General features: G+C 48.4%; 1 non-coding gene and 1 pseudogene across 1 annotated transcript, besides 9 other annotated features; both read right to left on the bottom strand.

Moving 5' to 3' along the window:
• Positions 6,315–8,061, bottom strand: EEF1A1P5 (eukaryotic translation elongation factor 1 alpha 1 pseudogene 5; annotated as a pseudogene).
• Positions 6,950–7,054, bottom strand: SNORD141A (small nucleolar RNA, C/D box 141A). Its single transcript, NR_132980.1, has one exon. It is a non-coding gene; the product is annotated as a small nucleolar RNA, C/D box 141A (small nucleolar RNA).
• Positions 6,984–7,676: an enhancer, noted in NCBI's record as "H3K27ac hESC enhancer chr9:135895195-135895887 (GRCh37/hg19 assembly coordinates)". NCBI's record gives its function as "activates a minimal SCP1, AML or CMV promoter by ChIP-STARR-seq in naive H9 embryonic stem cells {active_cell/tissue: H9 hESC(naive)}" and the evidence as "EXISTENCE:reporter gene assay evidence [ECO:0000049][PMID:30033119]".
• Positions 7,677–8,369: an enhancer, noted in NCBI's record as "H3K27ac hESC enhancer chr9:135894502-135895194 (GRCh37/hg19 assembly coordinates)". NCBI's record gives its function as "activates a minimal SCP1, AML or CMV promoter by ChIP-STARR-seq in naive H9 embryonic stem cells {active_cell/tissue: H9 hESC(naive)}" and the evidence as "EXISTENCE:reporter gene assay evidence [ECO:0000049][PMID:30033119]".
• Positions 21,639–22,510: an enhancer, noted in NCBI's record as "H3K4me1 hESC enhancer chr9:135880361-135881232 (GRCh37/hg19 assembly coordinates)". NCBI's record gives its function as "activates a minimal SCP1, AML or CMV promoter by ChIP-STARR-seq in primed H9 embryonic stem cells {active_cell/tissue: H9 hESC(primed)}" and the evidence as "EXISTENCE:reporter gene assay evidence [ECO:0000049][PMID:30033119]".
• Positions 22,706–23,657: a transcriptional cis regulatory region, noted in NCBI's record as "candidate enhancer chr9.3633 targeted for multiplex CRISPR interference". NCBI's record gives its function as "positively regulates GFI1B gene expression with high confidence in K562 cells {active_cell/tissue: K562}" and the evidence as "EXISTENCE:mutant phenotype evidence [ECO:0000015][PMID:30612741]".
• Positions 22,706–24,258: a biological region, named in NCBI's record as "GATA motif-containing MPRA enhancer 41". NCBI's record gives its function as "regulatory_interactions: GFI1B".
• Positions 22,988–23,282: an enhancer, noted in NCBI's record as "tiled region #4600; K562 Activating DNase matched - State 5:Enh". NCBI's record gives its function as "activates a minimal TATA promoter and a strong SV40 promoter by Sharpr-MPRA in K562 cells {active_cell/tissue: K562}" and the evidence as "EXISTENCE:reporter gene assay evidence [ECO:0000049][PMID:27701403]".
• Positions 23,157–23,301: an enhancer, noted in NCBI's record as "145 bp enhancer 41 fragment used in the MPRA reporter construct; PK_construct_4141". NCBI's record gives its function as "activates an SV40 promoter by MPRA in K562 cells {active_cell/tissue: K562}" and the evidence as "EXISTENCE:reporter gene assay evidence [ECO:0000049][PMID:23512712]".
• Positions 23,221–23,238: a transcriptional cis regulatory region, noted in NCBI's record as "GATA motif; MPRA enhancer 41 activity is reduced when this motif is scrambled". NCBI's record gives its function as "necessary for full MPRA enhancer 41 activity in K562 cells {active_cell/tissue: K562}" and the evidence as "EXISTENCE:site-directed mutagenesis evidence [ECO:0005528][PMID:23512712]".
• Positions 23,385–24,258: an enhancer, noted in NCBI's record as "OCT4-NANOG-H3K4me1 hESC enhancer chr9:135878613-135879486 (GRCh37/hg19 assembly coordinates)". NCBI's record gives its function as "activates a minimal SCP1, AML or CMV promoter by ChIP-STARR-seq in naive H9 embryonic stem cells {active_cell/tissue: H9 hESC(naive)}" and the evidence as "EXISTENCE:reporter gene assay evidence [ECO:0000049][PMID:30033119]".

Here is a 25,325-nt window from a genome sequence, read left to right as displayed (position 1 = left end):
CGAGCAGGTGCTCAGGAAGTATTTATTGAACAACTGAATGAGGCCACTTGTCTTATTTGAGCCTTCAATCGAGCCCCGGGTCAGGGCATGGTCATAGGGACACTAAATCAAGGCTTGTCAGACAAGGAGTGTCCCTTAGTGCACAGGAAGTGAGGAGGGGCTGAGTGTGAGGGGAAGACAAGGGACCAACCCCAGGGCATCAGACCAAGCTTTTTGAGATTAGACTTGGTCCTGCCTGAGATCCAAAGCGGGAGGTCAGAGGCAGGAGCAGTAAGGCAAGGCTGGGAGCAGAGACAGGCCAAGAAAGATCAGGAACCCAGTTAAAAAGTAGCTTTGGCTGGGAGCGGTGGCTCATGCCTGTAATCCCAGCACTTTGGGAGGCTAAGGCGGGTGGATCACTTGAGGTCAGGAGTTCGAGACCAGCCTGGCCAACATAGTGAAACCCCATCTCTACTAAAAATACAAAAATTAGCCACATGTGGTAGCACATGCCTGTAATCTCAGCTACTCGGGAGGCTGAGGCAGGAGTCTCGCTTGATCCCAGGAGGCAGAGGTTGCAGTGTGCAGAGATCATGCCACTGCACTCCAGCCTGAGTGACAGAGTGAGACTCCATCTCAAAAAAAAAAAAAAAAAAAAAAAAAGAAGTAGCTTTAACGTTCTCCAAAACCTTGCAGCATTCAGAGCAGGCAGCTGTGACAATATTTGTGCACTGAGGGGACACTTTCTCTGCCTGGATTCAGGGCATATGCTATGGTTTGAAAATGTCCCCCAAATTTCATGTGTTGGAAACTTAATTTGTCTGCCCTCATGAATAAATTAATGTTGGCTCTGCCCTCATGCATGGATTAATGTCGCTGTTGTGGGAGTGAGTTGCTTATCTCTTTGTTATAGAGGCAAGCTCTCTCCGGCTCTCTCTCTCCTGCCCTCTTGCATATGTGCCCTCCACCATGTTATGGCACAGCAAGAATGCAAAGACCCTTAGCAGATGCTGCCACCGTGTCCTTGAACTTCTCAGCTTCCAGAACTACAAGAAACAAATGTTTTTCCTGTAGGAATTACCCAGTCTGGGATATTCTGTTATAACAGCAGAAAACAGACTAACGCAGCATGCTTCTCGCATCTTGCCCTGCTGTGGGGTGGCAGATTTCATCCCACTGGACAGAAGGGCACTACAGCTCTAGCCACCTCCTATGGGCGGATTGGGCACACTGGGGGTGGGGGGCAGCCTCTATGTGCCACTTCCACACGGGAGAGATTCGGAGCTCCTGAAGGACGCTTGGGTGCTGCAACCAGCGTTTGTTGCTCAGGGAAAGGGTGGATGTAGGGACCAGCCCTACAGGGTCTGTGGGTTTTTCTCCCCTTGTGCGGAGACGAGAGATCGTAGAAATAAAGACACAAGACAGAGAGATAAAAGAAAAGACAGCTGGGCCTGGGGGACCACTACCACTGAGACGTGGAGACTGGTAGTGGCCCCGAATGCCAGCCTGTGCTGTTATTTATTGGATACAAGACAAGCGGGCAGGGTAAGGAGTGTGAGCCACCTCCAATGATAGGTAAGGTAACGTGGGTCACGTGTCCACTGGACAGGGGGCCCTTCCCTATTTGGCAGCCAAGGTGGAGAGAAAGAGAGGGAGGAGACAGCTTACACCATTATTTCTGCATATCAGAGACTTTTAGTGCTTTCACTAATTTTGCTACTGCTATCTAGAAGGCAGAGCCAGGTGTACAGGATGGAACATGAAAGCGGACCAGGAGCATGACCGCTGAAGCACAGCATCACAGGGAGACGGTTAGGCCTCCGGATAACTGTGGGCGGGTCAGGCCCTCAACAAGAGGTGGTGGAGTAGAGTCTTCTCTAAACTCCCCCAGGGAAAGGGAGACTCCCTTTCCCGGTCTGCTAAGTAGCCGGTGCTTTTCCTTGGCACTGATGCTACTGCTAGAACACGGTCCGCTTGGCTACGGGCGTCTTCCCAGACGCTGGCATTACCGCTAGACCAAGGAGCCCTCTGGTGGCCCTGTCTGGGTGTGACAGAGGGCTCATGCTCTTGTCTTCTGGTCACTTCTCACCATGTCCCTTCAGCTCCTATCTCTGTATGGCCTGGCTTTTCCTAGGTTATGATTGTAGAGCGAGGATTATTATAATAGTTGAATAAAGAGTAATTACTACAAACTGATGATTAGTGGTACTTACATATATCTATGATCTATATGTAGTATAACTCTTGTTATTTTATATATTTTATTATACTGGAACAGCTTGTGCCCTCGGTCTCTTGCCTTGGCACCTGGGTGGCTTGCTGCCCACAGGTGGGGACCCCTGGCACAAGACACAGAAGGGTGCATCTTCCACCACCACCCCTTGGAGCTGAGCTCCTCTTTCCAGACTCAGGGACCCTCCTGCTGAAGGGACCGAGGAGCTGGCCCCCTCGGGGATGGTTTGGGTTTTAGGAGGAATCTTGGCCTTAGACAGGACCTGGTAGAAGTTTTGCCATTGAGAAGCTTTGAGCTGCTGTTGGCATGAGGAGGGAGGATGAGTCCGCTTCGCCCGTTGGGCCTCACTTCTGTGCATGGGCACTGCCCTGCTTGGTTTGAACATTTTTTCAGCTTAAATGTTTAATTTCCTGTGACGTGAGTCGGGGGGGGGGGCGGAATTGGATCTTACTGTCACCTTGCTACCGGACTGCTGGCCTCCAGAACTCTGAAAATCACATTTGTGTTGTGTTTTCAGTCACCCAGTGTGTGGCGATTTCTCACAGTCACCTTAGGAGATGAATACAGATCAGGGAGTCCTTGAATTTCCAGAGCATTTCCAGAATTTATTTTTGGGTCATAACATTTTCTTTTTTTTTTCTTTTTCTTTTTGAGACGGAGTCTTGCTCTGTTGCCTAGGCTGGAGGACAGTGGCATGATCTCGGCTCACTGCAACCTCCACCTCCCAGGTTCAAGCAATTATCCTGCCTCAGCCTCCCAAGTAGTTGGGACTGCAGGACGATGCCACCTCACCTGGCTAATTTTTGTATTTTTATTAGACACGGGGTTTCACCATGTTGGCCAGACTGGTCTCGAACTCCTGACCCCATGATCCACCTGCCTCAGCCTCCCAAAATGCTGGCATTACAGGCGTGAGCCACTGCGCAGGGCCGAGTCATAACATTTTCTGGCATAAGCAGGTCAGGTTTTCTTCTCTTAAGTTACTGGAGCTCACTCACTATAAATCAGGCCTCCCCGCTTCATTCTTTACCCCTCCTATGGGGCCAGAGACCACCCATTTCCAGGCTGGGGGTCCTCTTTGAGTTACTGACCGTCACTGGGGGCACATGGTGTAAATGTCGCAGCGCAGCCTGGGTGGCTGAATTGCAGCAAGTGTTGTCCCCACCCACTCTCCAGACTATATGTTAAAACTCTAACTCCCTGAGCTGGTATTAGGAGTTGCTGCCTTGGGAGGTGATGAGGTCACGAGTGTGGAGCCCTCGTGGCGGGATTAGTGCCCTCATAGAGGAGACAAGAGTGCGTGCTCACTCCACTCTGCTGTGTGAGGTCACAGCAAGAAGGCGGTCGCCTGCCAGCCAGGAAGAGGACCTTCGCCAGACCCTGTATCTGCCCGCACCTTGACCTGGGACTTCCCAGCCTCCAGAACTGTGAGAAACAAATTTCTGTTGTTTAAGCCCCCGAGTCTATGACATTTTTGTTCTAGTAGCCTGAACTAAGACCGGTCACTTCACAGCAGCCATTCAGACATCCATTTACCAAATGCTCCCCGCGATGTGCCCGATCCTGTGCTGGGCTCGGATGATGAAGCCGAGAGGACCGCCCCCCTCCGCCCTCACGGAGCTCACATTTGATTGGCAGAGACAGACAGCAGGCGAATAAAGGAATCCACACCTAAGGTAATACCAGGTAATGAGGGCTTCCGGGAAAAACGAAGCCCAGCGCATTTTAACCGTTTCCCTGCAGTGGGCCCTGCCAACCCCAGCCGCTGCATCCAGATCCCGGAAGTCACAGAGTGAGTTCTCAACTAGGTCCACACAGGCTCACATCCTCCCTGGGCAGCAGGGGCAAGCGGTGTGGAAGTTAGGGGGTGGCCGGTGCCACCGTGCCCTGCCACCTATGGTCCCAGCTCAAGCACTAAGGACTTGCCAGTCCCCGCCCTCAGTTGCCCCAGCATCCAGCTGAAGCCCCGCCCCTGCTTCCTGATTGTAGACGTGGGGAACATCACACAGCTGTCCTGTCTGCTGAGGTGTCCCAAGGCAAAAAAGGGGCTACTGGCTGATTGACAGGGCCAAATCTCGTGCGGTGGGGGGCCTGACACTCTGGCAACCCCACAACCCCCACACCTGACTTCTGTCTGGGGCCTTGAATACTTAATACTGTCTGGGGAGGCCCTTCTGTGATGGGGCTTGGGTGGGGGGATATTGATCCTCTACTAACTGAAGACAAGGAGGGCTTTCAAAAATGTTTTCTTTGCACCGGAGCGTAATGGCTTACGCCTGTAATCCCAGCACTTTGGGAGGCTGAGGAAGGCGGATCACTGGAGGCCAGGAGTTCAAGACCAGCCTGGCCAGCATAGTGAAACCCCATCTCTACTAAAAAAAAAAAAAAAAAAAAAAAAAAATTAGCCGGGCGTGTTGGCGGGCGCCTGTAGTACCAGCTACTCGGGAGGCTGAGGCAGCAGAATCGCTTGAACTCGGGAGGCGGAGGCTGCAGTGAACTGAGATTGTGCCACTGCACTCCAGCCTGGGCAACAGAGCGAGACTCCACCTCAAAAAAAAAGTTTTCTTCGGGTCCCAGAATCTGAATATTCCTTCCTGGGATGCTAGGTCAGTCTGTGAAGCACACAGTGGGTATTTATTTAGTATTCCCTGGTCTGGAACGGATTCCTGCACCCTGAGCAGGAGGAAGAGTGTAGTGTTGAATTTTGGCCATGAGATGGCAACAGAGCGTCCTCCTGGGCAACATCGCCACCTGGTGACCATCAGTGCCCAGGACAACCTGGAAGAAAGGGCGAAGTAGCGACGGAAGGTGAACCCAGCTTGGGGAGCTTAGAGCCTCATGGAAGCCATGTGCTGGGCCAGGGGGGACCAGCCTGCTCCCGATCACGTCCGACCATACACACACCCACATCCAGGTCCAAGAATACTCCCACACGGTTCCAACACTGGGTGGCAAATGATGGGGACCTGGGGATGGGGTTTATGCAGATATTTCACAATTTTCTTTTTATTTCCAAGTGGGGCAACCTGTTCCAAAGGATATTCTCCCTTTTAACCAATTCGTCATTCTGAAGCAAAATTAAGTTACATACATATAGTACTGATTTTCAAAGTCTGTTCATAAAGAGTTATATTCCTAAAATAAATATTTTTTAAAATGTACCAGGCAAAGGGAAATTTATAATAAAGCTAATACAATTTAAGCATCAGATTCCCTCAAGTGCATGTACTTTTTGAAGGCCCTGGTAGGTCCCTTATCATTGTATTCACGTAGGCATGTTTTTATAAAAACTGAAAACACAAGATTTTAACTGCAATTTAAACTGCTATCTCTTTCTTTTCTTTTCTTTTCTTTCTTTTTTTTTTTTTTTTTTTTTTTTTTTGTGAGACAGAGTCTTGCTCTGTTGCCCAGGCTGGAGTGCAGTGGCGCCATCTCAGCTCACTGCAAACTCCACCTCCTGAGTTCAAGTGATTCTCCTGACTCAGCCTCCCTAGTAGCTGGAACTACAGGCATACCACCACACACACCCGGATAATTTTTGTATTTTTAGTAGAGACGGGGTTTCACCATGTTGGCCAGGCTCATCTCGAACTCCTGACCTCAGATGATCCGCCTGCCTCCGTCTCCCAAAGTTCTGGGGTTACAGGCGTAAGCCACCACAGCCAGCCTGCTGTCTCTTTCTATGGGACCTGCCCTCTATCACATGTCCCCTGGTGTTGGGAGACACTGAAGCAGTCACAGGCATTTGGGGAATTTGACTGAGGGGAAGTTGAATTGGGAATGCATTTAGTTTGGATTGAATGGACTGCATGTGTGGCTTGCAGTCATTTAATTTAATAGTTATCACTGATCATCCCATGTAGAAATGGCTTCCAGGAATACACATTATTACTACCTTCTGTGACAGTTTACTGATGTTTGGGCGTGAAGTCCAGGGTCAAAGGAAGTACAGCGCTCAGAGTTAAAAGCTACTCTGTAGAAAATTTCACCAAACAGCAGATGTGTAAAACATAAAAAGAGGAATGTAAATGGTGCAGCCACTGTGGAAACAGTATGGCAGTTTCTCAAAATATTATTATTATTATTATTATTATTATTTTTTTTTCTCATTTAACTTTTTTAATGGGTCTCAAACTTCTGTGACAAATTTTTGGTCAAGTTGTTTCCATTAAAAAGTACTGATTTTAAAAACTAATAACTTAAAACTGCCACACGCAAAAAAGAAAACCAAAGTGGTCCACAAAACATTCTCCTTTCCTTCTGAAGGTTTTACGATGCATTGTTATCATTAACCAGTCTTTTACTACTAAACTTAAATGGCCAATTGAAACAAACAGTTCTGAGACCGTTCTTCCACCACTGATTAAGAGTGGGGTGGCAGGTATTAGGGATAATATTCATTTAGCCTTCTGAGCTTTCTGGGCAGACTTGGTGACCTTGCCAGCTCCAGCAGCCTTCTTGTCCACTGCTTTGATGACACCCACCGCAACTGTCTGTCTCATATCACGAACAGCAAAGCGACCCAAAGGTGGATAGTCTGAGAAGCTCTCAACACACATGGGCTTGCCAGGAACCATATCAACAATGGCAGCATCACCAGACTTCAAGAATTTAGGGCCATCTTCCAGCTTTTTACCAGAACGGCGATCAATCTTTTCCTTCAGCTCAGCAAACTTGCATGCAATGTGAGCCATGTGGCAATCCAATACAGGGGCATAGCCGGCGCTTATTTGGCCTGGATGGTTCAGGATAATCACCTGAGCAGTGAAGCCAGCTGCTTCCATTGGTGGGTCATTTTTGCTGTCACCAGCAACGTTGCCACGACGAACATCCTTGACAGACACATTCTTGACCTTGAAGCCCACATTGTCCCCAGGAAGAGCTTCACTCAAAGCTTCATGGTGCATTTCGACAGATTTTACTTCCGTTGTAACGTTGACTGGAGCAAAGGTGACCACCATACCGGGTTTGAGAACACCAGTCTCCACTCGGCCAACAGGAACAGTACCAATACCACCAATTTTGTAGACATCCTGGAGAGGCAGGCGCAAGGGCTTGTCAGTTGGGCGAGTTGGTGGTAGGATGCAGTCCAGAGCCTCAAGCAGCGTGGTTCCACTGGCATTGCCATCCTTACGGGTGACTTTCCATCCCTTGAACCAAGGCATGTTAGCACTTGGCTCCAGCATGTTGTCACCATTCCAACCAGAAATTGGCACAAATGCTACTGTGTCGGGGTTGTAGCCAATTTTCTTAATGTAAGTGCTGACTTCCTTAACAATTTCCTCATATCTCTTCTGGCTGTAGGGTGGCTCAGTGGAATCCATTTTGTTAACACCGACAATTAGTTGTTTCACACCCAGTGTGTAAGCCAGAAGGGCATGCTCTCGGGTCTGCCCATTCTTGGAGATACCAGCTTCAAATTCACCAACACCAGCAGCAACAATCAGGACAGCACAGTCAGCCTGAGATGTCCCTGTAATCATGTTTTTGATGAAGTCTCTGTGTCCTGGGGCATCAATGATAGTCACATAGTACTTGCTGGTCTCAAATTTCCACAAGGAGATATCAATGGTGATACCACGTTCACGCTCAGCTTTCAGTTTATCCAAGACCCAGGCATACTTGAAGGAGCCCTTTCCCATCTCAGCAGCCTCCTTCTCAAATTTTTCAATGGTTCTTTTGTCGATGCCACCGCATTTATAGATCAGATGGCCAGTAGTGGTGGACTTGCCCGAATCTACGTGTCCAATGACGACAATGTTGATATGAGTCTTTTCCTTTCCCATTTTGGCTTTTAGGGGTAGTTTTCACGACACCTGTGTTCTGGCGGCAAACCCGTTGCGAAAAAGCAAAATATTATTATTATTTATTTATTTTGAGACAGAGTCTCCCTCTGCCACCCAGGCTGGAGTGCAATGGCACGAGCTCGGCTCACTGCAGCCTCTGCCTCCCAAGTTCAAGCGATTCTCCTGCCTCAGCCTCCCAAGTAGCTGGGACTACAGGCTACATGCCTGGATAATTTTGGTATTTTTAGGAGAGATGGGGTTTCACCATGTTGGCCAGGCTGGTTTCGAACTGCTGACCTCAGGTGATCCACCTACCTCAGCCTCCCAAAGTGCTAGGATTACAGGCGTGAGCCACCGTGCCCAGCGTCAAAATATTAAAAATAGGTTTACCTGGTCAGGCACTGTGGCTCATGCCTGTAATCCCAGCAGTTTGGGAGGCTGAGACAGGATTGCTTGAGCCCAGGAGTTCAAGACCAGCCTGGGCAACATAGAGAGATCTTGTCTCTAAAAATTTTTAAAAATAGGGCCATGCCACACGCAGTGGCTCACACCTGTAATCCCAGCACTCTGGGAGGCCAAGGCAGGTGGATCACTTGAGGTCAGGAGTTTGAGACCAGCCTGGCCAGCATGGTGAAACGCCATCTCTACTAAAAATACAAAAATTAGCCAGGCATGGTGGCATGCACCTGTAATCCCAGCTACTCAGGAGGCTGAGCAAGAGAATTGCTTGAACCCAGGAGGCGGAGGTTGCAGTGAGCCAAGATCGCGCCACTGCACTCCAGCCTGGGCAACAGAGCGAGACTCCATCTCAAAAAAAAAAAAAAAAAGTCACATGGTGATGGTTGCGCAACAATGTGGATGTATTCAGTGTCATTGAACTGTGCTGCAATATTTTGAAAAAAATCTTTTTTTTTTTCTGAGCAGCAGGTCTCAACAGAGAGCTTAAAATATTCAGTAAACCATGCCACAAACAGACACACTATCATCCAGGATTTGTTCTTCCATTTCTAGAGCATGGGCAGAGTAGATTTAGCATCATTCTTTTCTTTTGTTTTTTTTCACAGGGTCTTGCTCTGTGGCCCAGGCTGGGGTTCAGTGGCACAGACTGTACCCTCCACCTCCCGGGCTCTGGTGATCCTCCCACCTCATTCTCCTGAGTAGCTGGGAGTTTCACAGGCATGCACCACCATGCGTGGCTAATTTTTGTAATTTTTGTAGAGACGGGTTTCGCCATGTTGCCCAGGCTGGTCTTGAACTGCTGGGCTCAAGCAGTCTGCCCAACTCAGCCTCTGAAAGTGCTGGGATTACAGGCATGAGCCACCGCACCTGGCTGATTTAGCATAATTCTTAAGGGTCCTAGGATTTTTGGAATGGTAAATGAGCACTGGCTTCAACCAAATGTCAGCAGCTGCATGAACCCCTAACAAAAGTCAGCCTGTCGTTTGAAGCTTTGAAGCCACTCATTGACTTTTTCTCTCTAGCTAGGAAAGTCCTAGGTTGCATCTTGTTCCAATAGAAGGCTGTTCCATCTACATTGAAAATCTGTTGTTTAGTGTACCCACTTTCATCGGTGATCTTAGCTAGATCTTCTGGATAACTTGCTGCAGCTTCTCCATCAGCACTTGCAGCTTCACTTTGTACTTTTTTTTTTTTTTTTGAGATGGAGTCTCACTCTTGTTGCCCAGGCTGGAATAAAATGGCGTGATCTCGGCTCACTGCAACCTCCACCTCCCGGGTTCAAGCGATTCTCCTGCCACAGCCTCCCGGGTAGCTGGGATTACAGGCATGTGCCACCACACCAGGCTAATTTTGTATTTTTAGTAGAGACGAGGTTTCACCATCTTAGTCAGGCTGATCTCAAACTCCCGACCTCGGGTGATCTGCCCGCCTCAGACTCCCAAAGTTCTGGGATTACAGGCATGAGCCACCGCGCCCAGCTTACCTTGTACTTTTGTGTTATGGAGATGGCTTCTTTCCTTAAACCTCATGAACCAATCTCTGCTAGCTTCCAACTTTTCTTCTGCAGCTTCCTCACCTTTCTCATCCTTCCTAGAATTAAAGAGAGTTAGGGCCTTGCTCTGCATTAGGTTTTGGCTTAAGGGAATGCTGTGGCTGGTTTGATCTTCTATCCGAAACACTCAAACCTTAGCCATATCAGCAATAAGACTTTTTTGATTTCTTATCATTTGTGTGTTCACTGGAGTAGCACTTTTAATTTATTTCAAGAACTTTTCCTTTGCATTCACACCTTGACTGTCTGGCACAAGAGGTCTAGCTTTGGGTCTGCCTTGGCTTTCAACCTGCCTTCCTCATGCCAACATTCCTCACTAATCATTCCTGGCTTTTGATTTAAAGGGAGAAACCTGGGACCCTTCCTTTCACTTGGACACTTAGAGCCCATTGTAGGGTCACTGATCAGTCTAAATTCAGTATTTTGGGTCTCAGGTGGGAGGGAAGCCTGTGGAAAGGGAGAGAGATGGGGAAATGGCCAGTCAGTGCAGCAGTCAGAACACACACAACAATTATTGATTAAGTTTGCTGTTATATGGGTGCAGTTTGAGGTACGCCAAAACAATTACCATAATAACATCCAAGATCACTGATCACAGATCACCATAACACATATAATAATGAAAACATTTGAAATATTGTGATACAGAGACATGAAGTGAACATACACTGTTAAGAAAATGAAGCCAATAGTCTTGCTGGACCCAGGGTTGCCACAAACCTTCAATTTGTTAAAAAAAAAAAAAAAAAAAAAAAAAAACAGGCTGGGTGCAGTGGCTCACGCCTGTAATCCCAGCACTTTGGGAGGCCGAGGCAGGCAGATCACCTGAGGTCAGGAGTTCAAGACCAGCCTGGCCAACAAAAATTAGCCAGGCATGGTGGTGCACACCTGTAATCCCAGCTACTCAGGTGGCTGAGGCAGGAGAATCACTTGAACCCAGGAGGCGGAAGTTGCAGTGAGCCGAGATTGTGCCATTGCACTCAAGCTTGGGCGAGAGAGGAAGACTCCATCTCAAAAAAAAAAAGAAAAAAGAAATATCTGAAAATTGCATAAAATAGAGCATTATAAAACCAGGTGTGCCTGTATAGTATATTCACCTTTAGAGGTCTTCCAGAGAGACTAGCCTGTAATTTTTCTTTCTTGTAAAGTCCTTGCCAGTTTTGTACAGCAAGGTTTATGTTAGCTTTATACAATAAATTGAAAAGTGTTCTCTCTTTTTCCATTCTCTTTGTGTAAATTTGTACATGACTTATCTTTCTTTTCTTTTTTTATTTTGTCTTTTTTAATTTTTGTTTTTGTACATGATTTCTTTTTTTAAATGTTGGGAATGGGAGGGAGGTTTGTGAGAAAGTCTTAAATTACAGATTCAGATCAAGGACTACTCAGATTTTCCATTTCTTATTGTGTCAGCTTTGGTAAGTTATGTTTTATTAGGGATTATTCAATTTCATCTAAATTTGCAAATCTATTGAGATAAAGTTATTCATAATATTCTCTTATGACCTTTTTATAGTACTCCATTGGGGTATAATTTATTTGTAGTAAAATGCACAAATCTGAAGTGTACACCTTCATGAATTTTTTGTTTGTTTGTTTTGAGACAGAGTTTTGCTCGGTCACCCAGGCTGGAGTGCAATAGTGCGATCTCAGCTCACTGCAACCTGTGCCTCCTGGGTTCAAGTGATTTTCCTGTCTCAGCCTCCTGAGTAGCTGGGACTACAGGCACACGCCACCATGCCTGGCTGATTTTTGTATTTTTAGTAGAGACAGGGTTTCACCATGTTGGCCAGGCTGGTCTCAAACTCCTGACCTCAGGTGATCTGCCCGCCTTGGCCTCCTAAAGTGCTGGGATTACAGGCATAAGACACTGCGCCTTGCCCTTCATGAATTTTTGCCTGTGAATTAATACATATACATGGGGCCATTTCCCAGATCAAGAAAAAAAACACTGCCATCATTCCAGAACATCTCATGCCTCTTTCCAGTCAATATGTCCATTGCTGTCAGACCCAACCACTGTTTGATTTCTCTCACCATATGTAACAGTTTGGCTGGAATTATACTCCATATCTGTTCTGTCTGGCTTCTTTTGTTCAACATAATGATTTTGAGATTCATTTATATGGTGTGTATCAAGAGTTGTTCTTTCATATTATTGGCCAGTATATTGTTGGATAAATGTGCTATGCCAACATTTGGTTCTTCATTGTCTTAGTTCAGGCTGCTATAATAAAACACCACAGACTGGGCAGCTTCAGTCACATTTACTTTTCATAGTTCTGGAGACTGGGAAGTGTAAGATCAGAGTGCTGGCAGATTCAGTGTCCATTGAGGGTGCTTTTCATGCTTTGCAAACAGCCATCTTCTCATTGTATCCTCATATGGCAGAGCAGAGAGAGGGGGCCAGCTCTCTCTGGTATCTTCTTATTTTTATTTATTTGTTTGTTTGTTTGTTTTGAGACAGGGTCTCCCCCTGTTGCCCAGGCCAGAGTGCAGTGGCGCGATATCAGCTCACTGCCACTCCGCCTCTCTGGTATCTTCTTATAACAACACTCATCTCATCATGAGGGCTCCAGCCTCATGACCTAATCGCCTTCTAAGCCCCACCTTCTACTATCATCCTATTGGGAGTTAGGGTTTTAACATATGAATTTTGGAGGGATGTAAACATGCAGTCCATAACATCCATTCTCCTACTGATGGCCATTTGGTGGTGTAGCGGATTGCATTTCCCAGCAGTGGCTGCCCAATGAATATCCCATTCCCCATGGTCTTCCTACAATGTGATGTCCAACAATCCTCCATTTTGAGGTGGTGGTCTATATTCCCTCCCCTGGAACCTGGGTGAACCTTTGCAATTGCCTCAGCCAATAGAAAGTGGCAGAAAGGATGCTGCAGAACTTTCAAGGCTGGATCATAAAAGGCAACATGGCCTCTCTTGGGATGCTTGCCCTTGGAACCCAGCCACCATTTCGTGAGAAAACCTAGGCCACACGGAGAGACCAAGTGTTCCAGATGACAGCCACAGCCAGTCTCCCAAGCCAAGGGCCAACATCCAATGCCAGACATGTGAATGAAAGGACATTCAGATGCTTCCAACTGCCAGCCTTTGAGTCTTGTAGCTGAGGTCTCAGACACTACAGAGGAGAAAGAAGCTATTGCCTCTGTGCTCTGTCTGATTATCTGATCTATAGAAACCATGAGAGAGAATAAATACTCACTATTGCTTCAAGCCACTCTATTTTGGGGATAAGTTGTAACGCAGCCTGTGTAACCAGATTACGCGGTTTCTAGTTTTCCACCATTACAAATACAGCTGTGATGAACATTCCTGTACAAGTCATGTCTATGGATATGAATGTTCATCTTGGCTAGACACCTGGGCATGGAACGGCTAAGTCACATGGAGAGTGTGTGCTGAACTGTATAAGAAACTGATGACCTCTTTTCTTTAGCAGTTGTACCATTTTACATTCATCCCAACAGTGTTTGAGACTTCCAGTTGCTCCACATCTTCAACAACACTTAGTATTATGTTAGCTGTACTAATAGGTTGCAGTCATATCTCATTGTGTCTTAAATTTACATTTTTCCCTGACTAATGATGTTATTGAGCATCTTTTAACATGCTTTTTGGCCATTTAAATAACTCGTTTTGTGAAATGTCTGTTCAAAGCTTTTTGCTTTCTTAAATTTAAGACAGGGTCTCACTCTGCTGCCCAGGCTGGATTGCAGTGGTGCGATCACGACTCACAGCAGCCTCAGCCTCCACCTCCTGGGCTCAAGCAGTCCTCTGGCTTCAGTCTCTCAAGTAGCTGGGACCACAGGCATGCAGCACCACACCCAGATAATTCAAATTTTTTTTCTAGAGATAGGGTCTTGCCATGTTGCCCAGGCTGGTCTCAAACTCCTGGCTTCAAGGTATTCTCCTGCCTCAGCCTTCCAAAGTGGTTTTTGCTTTTTTTGTGAGACTGAGTCTCACTCTGTCGCCCAGGCTAGAGTGCAATGGCTTGATCTCGGCTCACTGCAACCTCCTCCTCCTAAGTTCAGGCAATTCTCCTGCCTCAGCCTCCCGAGTAGCTAGGATTACAGGCACCCAACACCACGCTCGACTAATTTTTGTATTTTTAGTAGAGATGGGTTTTCACCATGTTGGCCAGGCTGGTCTCAAACTCCTGACCTCAAGTGATCCACCTGCCTCAGCCTCCCAAAGTGCTGGGATTACAGGCGTGAGCCACTGGGTCTGGCCAGTTTTTGCCTATTTTTAAATCAAGTTAGTTTTAGTAAAATAAAGTTTATTGTATTTTAATTTAGGAGTTCTTTATATATTCTAGATTTAAGTCCTCTGTCGGTGATATGGAGTGGGAAAGTTTTCTCAGAACATGGCTTGGCTGTTCACATTCTTAATGCTGCCTGCTGATGAGTAGAAGTTGTTAGCTTTGACATGGCTAAAACACACTTAAGAATATGTTTAGCTTAAACATATATTTTTTCTTTTATGCTTTATGGTTCCTTTTATGTTGTACTAAAAATATTTTCCAATCTCTAAATTCATAAAGATAGTCGACATTTTCTTCTAGAAGCTTTATAGTTTTAGTTCATTCTTAGTTTTTTCATTGTTATGGTGGAGAATTTGTCTTTCGCAATTTTCAATATCCTCATTCTCTCTCTTTCTCTGTCTTCTCTTCAGTTGAAAATAAAGAGAAATCCACTGTGATTTTTGATTATTATTACTATTTTTTAATTTTTTTTATTTTTTTGAGATAGAGTCACACTCTGTTGCCCAGGCTGGAGTGCAGTGGTGTGATCCCAGCTCACTGAAACCTCTATCTCCCGGGTTCAAGTGATTCTCGTGCCTCAGCCTCCCGAGTAGCTGGGGCTACAGGTGTGTGCCACCATGCTCAGCTAATTTTTTGTGTATTTTTAGTATAGATGGGGTTTCACCGTTTCACCATGTTGCCCAGGCTGATTCTTGAACTCCTGAGCTCAGGCAATTCACCTGCCTCGGCCTCCCAAAGTGCTACGATTATAGGCGTGAGCCACTGGCATGCCCAGCCTGATTATTATTATTATTATCATGGAATTTTTTTTTTTTTTTTTTAATGAGACAGGGTCTCACTCTGTCACCCAGGCTGGAGTGCAGCGGTGCAGTCATGGCTCACTGCAGCCTCAACCTCTTGCGCTCAAGCAATCTTTCCACCTCTGTCTCTTGAGTAGCTGGTACTACAGGTGTGCACTGCCACGCTCATCTTTTTTTTTTTTTTGAGATGGAGTCTCGCTCTGTTGCCCAGGCTGGAGTGCAATGGCTCGATTTCAGCTCACTGCGACCTCTGCCTCCCAGGTTCAAGCGATTCTCCTGCCTCAGCCTCCTGAGTAGCTGGGATTACAGGCACGTGCCACCACGCCTGGCTAATTTTTGTATTTTTAGTAGAGACGGGGTTTCACCGTGTTGGTCAGGCTGATCTCAAACTCCTGACCTCATGATCTGCCTACCTCGGCCTCCCAAAGTGCTGGGATTATAGGCATGAGCCACTGGACCCATGGGTTATTTAAAGTCTATTGCTTAGTATCCAAAAATTGGGGATTTAAAAATAACCTTTTTGTTGTTGACTTCTAGCTTAGTTCCACCATGATCAGAGAACTTATTCTGCATGATTGCATTATCTGAAATTTACTGGGGCTTGCTTTGTGGCCCAGCAGATGGTCAGTCTGGTTAAGTGTTCTGTGTACATTTGAAAGCATCAGGTACAATGTTCTATATTCTTCTTAATTTGCTTTATTTGTTTGCTTTTGTTTTTCGGTCTGCTTGTTCCGTGAGAGATGTGTTAAAATTTCCCACTGTGATTGTGAATTTGCCTATTTCTCCTTTTAGTTTTGTCAGTTTTATTTTGTATATATTTGAGGTCATATTTTTATGCACATATAAATTTAGAAATGTTATATCATTTCTTTTAATCATTATGAAATGTTCTTCTTTATCTCTAGTAAAGTCTAAATTGTGTGATGTTAATATAGCTGTAAGAGATTTATTTTGGTTAGTGTTTTCATGGTATATATCTTTTTCCATCTTCCATCTTTTCACTTTCAATCTTTCTTTATCTTTTTTTTTTTTTTTTTTTTTGAGACCGAGTGTCACTCTGTTGCTGGACTGCAGTGGTGTGATCTCAGCTCACTGCAACCTCCGTCTCCCAGGTTCAAGTGATTCTCATGCCTCAGCCTCCTAAGTAGCTGGAACTGTAGGTGCGAGCCACCACGCCTGGCTAATGGTTGTATTTTTAGTAGAGATGAGGTTTCACCATGTTGGCCAGGCTGGTGTCAAACTCCTGACCTCAGGTGATCCACCCTCCTTGGCCTCCCAAAGTGCTGGGATTACAGGTGTGAGCCACCACACCCAGCCACTGTATTCTTATATTTTAAGTCTATCTCTTATAGGCAGCATGTAGTTGTTTCTCTTTTCTAAGATCCTGTGTCTTTTAGCTGGAATATTTAATCTTTTTATATTTAATGTAATACTAATATATTTGTGTTTAAAGCTTTCACATTACTGTTTTCTATTTGTTCTATCTGTTCTATATGGTTTTCCTTCCTTTTCCTTCTTTAATACTAATTATATTTTGTTATTTTATTTTTCCTCTAATAAATAGTTGTATAAACTTTTACTGGTTACCCTGGGGATTACAATATGAATCCTTGATCTGGTAAAGTCAAATACAAATTAGTACTTCTACTACTTCCATAACAATGTAAAGACACATTTGAATGCTTCTTTGCCTCTTGCCTTTTGTTCTGTTGTTATCACGTCATACATGTATGTGTGTATTTATTATTACTTTTTCCTTTCTTTTTTTTTTTTTTTTTGAGACAAGGTCTTGCTCTGTCACCTGGGCTGGAGTGCAGTAGCACTCACTGCAGCCTCGACCTCCTGGTCTCAAGCCTTGAGCCTTCGACCTCCCACCTCAGCTTCCCGAGTAGCTGAGACTACAGGTACGTGTCACCACACTTGGCCATTTTATTTTTTTTTATTTTTTGTAGAGATGGGGTCTCACTATGTTGCCCAGGCTGGTCTTGAACTTCTGGCCTCCAGTGATCCTACAACCTTGGCTTCCCAAAGTGCTGAGATTACAGGTGTGAGCTACCACACCCAGCATGTGTTATACTTTTAAATCAGCTTTATTGAGGTATAATTTATATGCAATAAAATACACCCAGTTTAAGTATATAGTTTGATGACTTTACAACTATATAAATGTAGTCACCATGTCAATCATGACACAGAATATTTCAATCACCCCCAAAGAATTCCCAGGTTCCTTTTTAGTGAGTCACCTCACCAATGGGGCAGACAGGGGACCTGGGGGGCTCTGGAGGGTGAGTGGGTTCTTTGCATCACCTATTGAACATCAAAACTCCTAGAATGGACAAGAATGGGTAGGGCTTAGGTTATGGGACTACCTGCTAGAGGGTGACCAAGGAAGCATCTAAGCCCAGGACTTACTCCAACAGGCAGGGGCCACACAGGGAACTGTCCGTTCTCTAAGACCACACCCACATGGGGAAATTTATTCACAGGGGAGATGGGAGAACCCTGGACAGTCAAAGGGGGAGACAAAAAAAACAAATGATGCTTAAACTGAACTCACCCTGTATCTTCCCAGATCTCTTCCCATGACTCCCTCCTGCAGGATTCTCTTTCTCAGGAATGGCAGCACCGGAAACGTGGGTGTCATCCCGGATTCCCCACTTGCCCCTCATCCATCTGCTGCCACATCAGTCCACTCTATCTCTTAAATTCATCAGAAATCCATCTTCTCCACCCATCCATCCATCACCCTGGTTCAACTCACACCACTGGGAACAGCCTCCACTTCGCCACTGGGAACAGCCTTCTAAGGCATCTCCCACATCCACTTACACTTCTCTATTAAGAGGATGGGTAACTATATGCATGTGTTTCAAAATTCAAAGGACACAAAAAGGCACTCAGTGAAAAGTCTCCCTCCCACTCCTTTCCCCCAGACACTGAGATCACCTTTTCTCTGGAGGTGATCAATGTCAACGGTTTCTTGTTTATCTCTCTGGAGACAATCTACAATGTTATAAACAAAATTATATATATATATATATATTCTCCATCCCCTTTTTAAAAAGCAAACAACTAACTCACAAATGGGTTTTCTTATTCAACTTCCCCTGTAATAAATAGTTGCACATGCTTTTACTGGCTTCCCCAGAGATTATAATATGACTCCTTCATCTATTACAGCCAACTATCAATTCGTTGACCACCAATGGTGCCTTGGTATACATTCCCTTCCTACCTTCCTTTTTTCACTTGGCAATATATCATGGAAATTACTCTCTGTCAATTCAGAAAGTGCTTCCTCATTTCTTTGAACAGATGGACAGTATTCCCCTGTGTGGCTGGACCATGATTTATTTACGCAACCCTCTTTAATGGGTACTTAGGTTGTTTCCAACCTTTCCCAAAAACAAATGCTTGTAGTGAATCACTGTAGTGTGTACACATGGGCTAGGCATCTGTAAGGTATTGTTGGGCCAAAGGGTGTGTGCCTCTGTGATTTAGTTAGACATTACTACATTGTTCCCTATTGGAGCCACAACCATTTCTGTCTCTCCCCCCAGGAGACCTGCCTGTGTTGGGACCACAGGGGCCTCAGAGGACTCAGGCCACCCTCCAGCGGTGGCCCACCTTGGTTCCCTAGACCCGTGAGCGGTTCCATCTTGAGGGGGCTGCCTGGCTGGTCTTTGCAACCCCTGCCCCCTGAGTTGTAGGGCTCCAGTCACCTTGCAGGGCTCCTGACTTCCCTGGCCACCAGGACACCAGGGATGCTTCTCCCCCGAAAATGCAAGTCGATCCCACTGCTCTGGGGCAGAGACCCAAAGCTTTACCAGAGACTGTGGGAGTGGGTCCCGCTGCTCCCACCCCTGTCTTCTCCTAACCACTCCCACTTTGCCCCACCCCCAAATTCCTGGCCCTGCGATGCCAGGGCCTCCCCAGGACCTCCATGCCTTTCCTTCCTGCTCCCCTTTTGGTTCTGGGTGACCTCTGGGAAGGGGTTTCTGCCCCCACTTGAAGAGGCCCCTCCGTGCAGCACACCTACTGCCCCCATCCCTGAGCAGGGTCGGGGGTGTCTCTTTGGACCCCGCTTCCCCAGCGCCTGGCATGAAATCAATGCTGCTGAGTGAGCGAACCCATAAATGGAGGAGAGAACAGAGGACCGAGCCAGGGAGTCCCATGCGTGCCCCGCAGTCCCCTCCCCTGGCCACTGGCAGTGCCCCCCCACCCCTAGGTCCAGGAAGAACTCAAGATGCTGGAAGGAAAGAATCACTAAGTCATTCAAGAGTTTCAGCCAGGGCCACAACCCCACCTGTGGCTAGGAAGAGTGGGGAAAGGGGAGAGGGAGGAGGAGAAGGAAAGGGAGATAGGGAGGAGGAGAAGGAAAGGGAGATGGGGAGAAGAGGAGGGAGAGAGAGGAGGGGAGGGAAGAGGTGGGGAGGAAGAGTGAGGGAAGAGGAGGAAAGGAACAGGAGGAGGGAGGTGGAGAGGGAGGGAAGGGCCCCGGGTCTGGCATTCTCCAAAGTGCTTCCCTACTCCAGGCTCATCCCTTCCTGACCCCTCCACGCCGGCCCAGAGCACCACACTGGGAACTTGCTGTCTGTTTTAGGGGATCTGTAGAGGAGAGTGGGCCACAGGTCCATCCCTGACCCCTTGATTCCTTGGGAAGGGTTTACCTTGGGATTAAAAAGCCTTGGGGAAGAGGTCCTTTAAAGTTCAGTCAAACCTTGGGCAAATGCGTGCCTCAGTTTCCATGTCTGTAAAACAGGGAAAAGTAGCTCCTGCTATTCTATGGGAAGTGCTCAGCTAGTGCCAGCCCAGGTCACAGCAAGTGCTAGGTACAGTTGGATGGTGCCATCTGGGATGGGTCCTCCAAGCCAATCAGATCAGATCAGATTGAGAGCTCATCCTCCCAGGAGATGGTGAGTGCTGTCCTTCAGCCAAACCTCTAGATCCAGGAAGCCGTTCTCAGACAGGTCCACAGTCCACACAGTGTCAGGTAGGACTGACAGTGGGCCTGAACTGTAATTCATGGTTCTAGGCAAAAGACTCGAAAGCACCCATTCACACGTATACTTGCACCCTGTTATCCAGGCCTAGGCACTCCATGCATTGGCCCCTTTGGGTGGGTAGACCCTTCAGTTTGCTTGCCTATCCATCCACCCATTGTCCATCCATCCACCCATCCACCATCCATCCACCCAACCACCATCCATCCATCCATCCATCCATCCACCTATCATCCATCCACCCACCCATCCATCCATCCATCCATCTGTCCATCCATCCGTCCATCCGTCCATCCATCCATCCATCCATCCATGCATCCATCCATCCATCCATCCACCCATCTGTTCATCCATTCATCCATCCACACATCCACCATCCATCCATCCATCCATCCAACCATCCATCCATCCATCCATCCATCCATCCACCCATCTGTTCATCCATCCATCCATCCACACATCCACCATCCATCCATCCACCCATCCATCCATCTATCCATGCTTCCATCCATCCATCCAACCATCCATCCATCCATCATTCATCCATCCATCCACTCACCCAACCATCCATCTGTCCATCTGACAAAAAGCATTTCCTTAATGAGTACTGGGGAAGCAATGGAGAATTTCATAGAACGTGTCACACAATGACACAAATAGCTATTTCATGACAATTATGATCAACATCAGAGGGCAGAATTTCTGGGGGATTTGAGAGTCTATAACTGGCAAGGGGAGGTTTTCTTGTGGGGTGCATGTGGGTTGGGTTTGGGATGACGAAGATAAAGAATTGGTGAAGTGAGGAAACTGCCTTCCAAGTGGAGGGAACAGCATTCCCAGAGCCTCAGAGGCAGGCAAAGCCAGTCTGGAAGGAGGAAGGAGAGAATGTCGCTGGGATTCTGGTGCTGTTGCTCAGACACCCACCCCTAGGGAGAAGTGGCTCTCCCTGCAGATCTCCCACAACCCTGAAGGTGCCTCCCTGCTCCAGCCCAGAGCAGGGCTCCCTGGCCCGTCTGCCATCAGTTGAGGGGGCATTACCTGCTCTGTTTCTCTGCCTGGACTATGCATGAGCTGTTTAGGGCTGGGCTCTGGTTTTCAAGTCTTCATTCAGCAGAGACCACTGTGCACATGGGCTTTTTTTTTTTGGCGGGGGCGGGGGGAGGGGTTACTAAAATATACTTAATAAATTTTACCTTCTTAACTATTTCTAAGTGTACAGTTCAGTGGCATTGGGTACATTCACATTGTTGTGCAATCATCACCACCAGCCAACACCAGAACTTTTCCCAAACTGAAGCTCTGTACCCATTAGACACTAACTCCCCACTCCCCTCCCCCAGATCCTGCCAGCCACCATTCTACTTTCGATGAATTTGACTACTCTAGGGACCTCATATAAGTGGAATCATCCTGTGCTTGTGCTTTTGTGACTGGCCTGTTTCACTCAGCATGATGTCCTCAAGGTCCACGTGTGGCATGTGTCAGAGCTCCATTCCCTTTGATGGCCAAGTCATATTTCCTAGCATGGACAGGCCCCGTTTTGTTTACCCATCATCTGTGGATGGACACTTGGGGTGCCCACTTTTTGGCTGCTGGGGACGATGCTGCTTTGAAGCCCACCAGCTTTTGGTACCTCTTTGGTGGAGTACCTTCGGCCAACTACACACCCACTGAGCAGTTTGTATTTTGCAAAATTTTATAGTGAAGGGACTGCAGACGTCGTCTTGACCAACTCTCTTCCTTTTGCAGCTGAGTGGAACCAAGTCCACTGGCTGCGGCGCTTCCTCTTCGCCCAGCTCTCTGCACGGTGGCCAAGCTCTGGGCCCTTAGCTCCTGGCAGGACCATATGTCCCCTGATCGGACTTTTGTGACACCGGGGCGCCCCACCTCATGCCTGCAGTGGTGCAACCCACACTACTCTAGAAAGTTTATGTGCCTGCTGCACACCCTCCTTTCCCTAGCCCACCGCAGCCATCCCATGGTGTTGTGGGAAATGACCTCAGAGAGCTTCCCCAGACAATGGAGAGTCTTTAGAATGCTGGGCAGCTGGACCCTTGGCCCTGGATACCAAGAGCTATGCAGGCACTTATCCCAAAGCCACCCCCATTCCAGCCAGATGCTGGTCCCCAACCCTGGGAAACAGAGACCAGGACCTGTGCCACTCCTGCTTGGCATGCACCTGGACTCCCCAGGACAGCCCTGCGGGTGGGTTTTCTTATCTCACTTTACAGACAGCATACGGGGCTAAAAAGTAGAGAAATGACTTGCTTAGAGCACCAGGGCCCAGCACAGAGTTCAGCTTCAAAGCCATCATTTCATTGTCCTCCACCAGCAGAGGAAGCCTAGTGACCGCCCCTTCCTACCCCCAGCCTCATCCCCACAATCACAGGGTCCCCTGCTGACAAGTGGCTCCCAGGGCAGGTCTCCCAGCCTAGCAGATCTCCTGGCTTGGAGACCCAGGATTTCTCCTGGCAAGGTCTCTAGGGCAGATGAGGCTGAGCTGCCTTCAAGTCCACCCAGGCCTCCCCAGAGGAGGCCCCCCTCCCAGGAATGGCATCCCAGCTCCTCCCTCCTCTGGGCTGGCTTCATGGGGGCAGACACCTTTACTTCTGCAACACAGCTGGGCTGCAGTCGTACAAGGGATCATGGTTTGCAGGCTGAGCTGGCAGAGGGACACCCCAGGGTGAAGGGCATTTGTGGGGCATCCTGTCATTGAACTTTCTCAGAAGGCCCTGCCCTTCTCTTTTTCCCTCCAAGGCAGTTGTTGGGATGGCAACATCAATGCTGGCCGTGGCACTTCCTCTTTGGCCAGCTCTGCACAGTGGCCGAGCTGTGGGCCCTCAGCTCCTGGCAGGGCCCTGTGTCCCCTGACCAGACTTCCGTGAGGCCAGGCCTCCCCACCCCACACCTGCAGCAGTGCAGCCCATGCTGCTCTAGGAGGTTTATCTGCCAGAGAGGCTTTGAGGGTGGGGAATGAGACCCTTATCTCCCTGCCAGGGGCCTGCCCTACAGTTAGGGCTTTGTAATCTGACATTGTGATTTTTCACTCTTGTTTTTCCCCTCATGGAGGGAAGATTTGCTGAATCACCCAGGGTGAGGTGGTTGGAGGAGGAGGGGGGCACCAGCTGGGGGGCAGTGATAAGTCTCAGGCCGGGCTGAGGGGCGCTGGGGAGCCACCGGGAGGAAACCCTTAACCGTGACGGTTTCCAGCTAAGATTGTAGGCTTCTAAAGAGCTGCCTTGGGGAGGCTGAGCTCAGGGATCCTGAACCTTCCTTCCTGAGGAGTGCAGAGGAGGGCCGGGGGTGCCAGGCAAGCCCCGTAGACATCCCACGAGCCAGCAGGGATGGGAAGGCAGGGACCGTGACCGTGGCAATGACCAAAGATGCATGTGGCTGGCTGCCAAGCCCCAACAGGATAGCCCCCAGGACCCCACTAGGTCACCCTTGCTTTGCACACTGGCCTCCTGAAGCCCTGAGAAGGCGCTGGCTAGAGCACTGCTCCCTAACAGGTTGGGCAAGAGCTGGGGGCAGGGGAGGCCTCTTGTCTCCCCCAGGGCTTTGTGCCCCGCTGTTTTCTTGGCTTGGGGCAGCCCTCTGCACTTCCAACAGATCAAATTCTTTTTGTCTTGCAAATGTCGACTTCCCTCATTAGACTTCCCTTAACCCCAGGGCTGGGCTTAGTAACCCCCTTGGGCCTCCAGACCCCCCACAGCGTCTCCTCTCCTGGGTCTTGCCAAGGCCCTGCCCAGAGTGGACGCCCAGCAAATACTTGTTGAACAGACTTTGTACCCTGCGAGAAGTGGTCTTCTATTGGCACTAAGTCTGGGGTCTACAAAGTGGGAAGAAATCCCCAGAGGAGCTGGGCTGGCCCCCAGGAATGCCCTCTGTTGCAGAGAGGACCCAGCTGCTGGGAGTGGTAGACCCCAGCCTGACCTCCAGGTGCCCGACCCTCAGCCTCTGCTGGGGCTGGCCACACAGTAGAGACAGCTGTCCACCAGTGATCTCATGGTAGTGTACAGAGATGGGGTCGTGCTGGGCGCAGGGGGAGGGCTTGGAGCAGAAAGGCCAGGCCGGACGGTGCCTGAGGCTTCCCCAGGATGCTCTCTACGCGACTGACTTCTGATTCCCCTCAGAGTCCGGTGGGCAACCGCAGCTCCGGGGAAGATGGGTGATTGACACCCCTGAGTCAGTGGCCACATCCCTTGCTGCTCCCAAAAGGGGCTCCTGGGGCAGGAAGAGCTGCCCACGGTGGTCGCTTCGCTCCCTTCCTGCTGCCCAGCTGAGCTCAGAGATAAGTCCTTGCTGGGCTGAGAGAGGCCTGGGGCTTAGGCCTTCCCCAGAAATCATGTTCGAGTTCCCCATGTGGAGGAAGGGGCCTGACGGCCACGATAACCCCTCTATTTTTAAGAGATCCGGGAGGAAGTTCCAAGTCACCCTTGGCAGAAATAGCTCTGGGCTTCAGCCTGGTGTCTGTAGCTCCAGCTGTCGGCAGGGACAGCCGAGGAGTGCAGCAGGATTCAGCTCATCACAGCATGGGGGGGCCCACCTGCTCCCCACCTGCTCCCCAACCCCAGACTGGGAGGACCTGTGGCCCTGCAGGTCCAGCCCAGAACCTGGGCTCCAAGGTCAGAGCTTTTGGCAATGAAATAACAACTACATTTATTGTGTGCCTACCCCGCACCCTGAGCCATTCACAGCGTTCACAGGAAAGTGCTGTGATCGTGCCACAAACGTGTCAGAGGGAAGAGAACTGCCTGGGAAGGCATCCGGAGGAGGTGAGGCTTGAGCTGTGCCCAGGACAGTTAGGAGAGAGCTGAGCAAATCGGTAGGAGGAAAAGAGCCACTTGGGTAGAGGGGACAGAAAGAGCAGAGGTTGGGAGTCAAGAGGTGTCTACAGGAGGCTGAGGCAGGAGGATCATTTGAAGCCAGGACTAACTAGGCAACAGAGTGAGACCTCATCACTACAAAAAGTACAAAATTAGCCTGGAGTGGTGGTGAGTACCTGTGGTCCCAGCTATTCTGGAAGCCAAGGCAGCAGGATGGCTTGAAGCCAGGAGTTCAAGACAAGTCTGGGCAACACAGTGAGACCTTGTCTGCACAAAAAAAAGAAAAAGAAACTGGCTGAGCGAAGTGGCTCACACCTGTAATCCCAGCACTTTGAGAGGCTGAGGTGGGCAGATTGCTTGAGCCCAGGAGTATGAGCCCAGGCTGGCAACATGGCTAAACCCTG

This window comes from Homo sapiens, chromosome 9, assembly GCF_000001405.40.
Source record: "Homo sapiens chromosome 9, GRCh38.p14 Primary Assembly".
In the NCBI taxonomy this organism is placed as follows: domain Eukaryota; kingdom Metazoa; phylum Chordata; class Mammalia; order Primates; family Hominidae; genus Homo; species Homo sapiens.
Note: the sequence above shows the minus strand (reverse complement) of the source record. Positions and strands in the feature narration are given on the sequence as shown.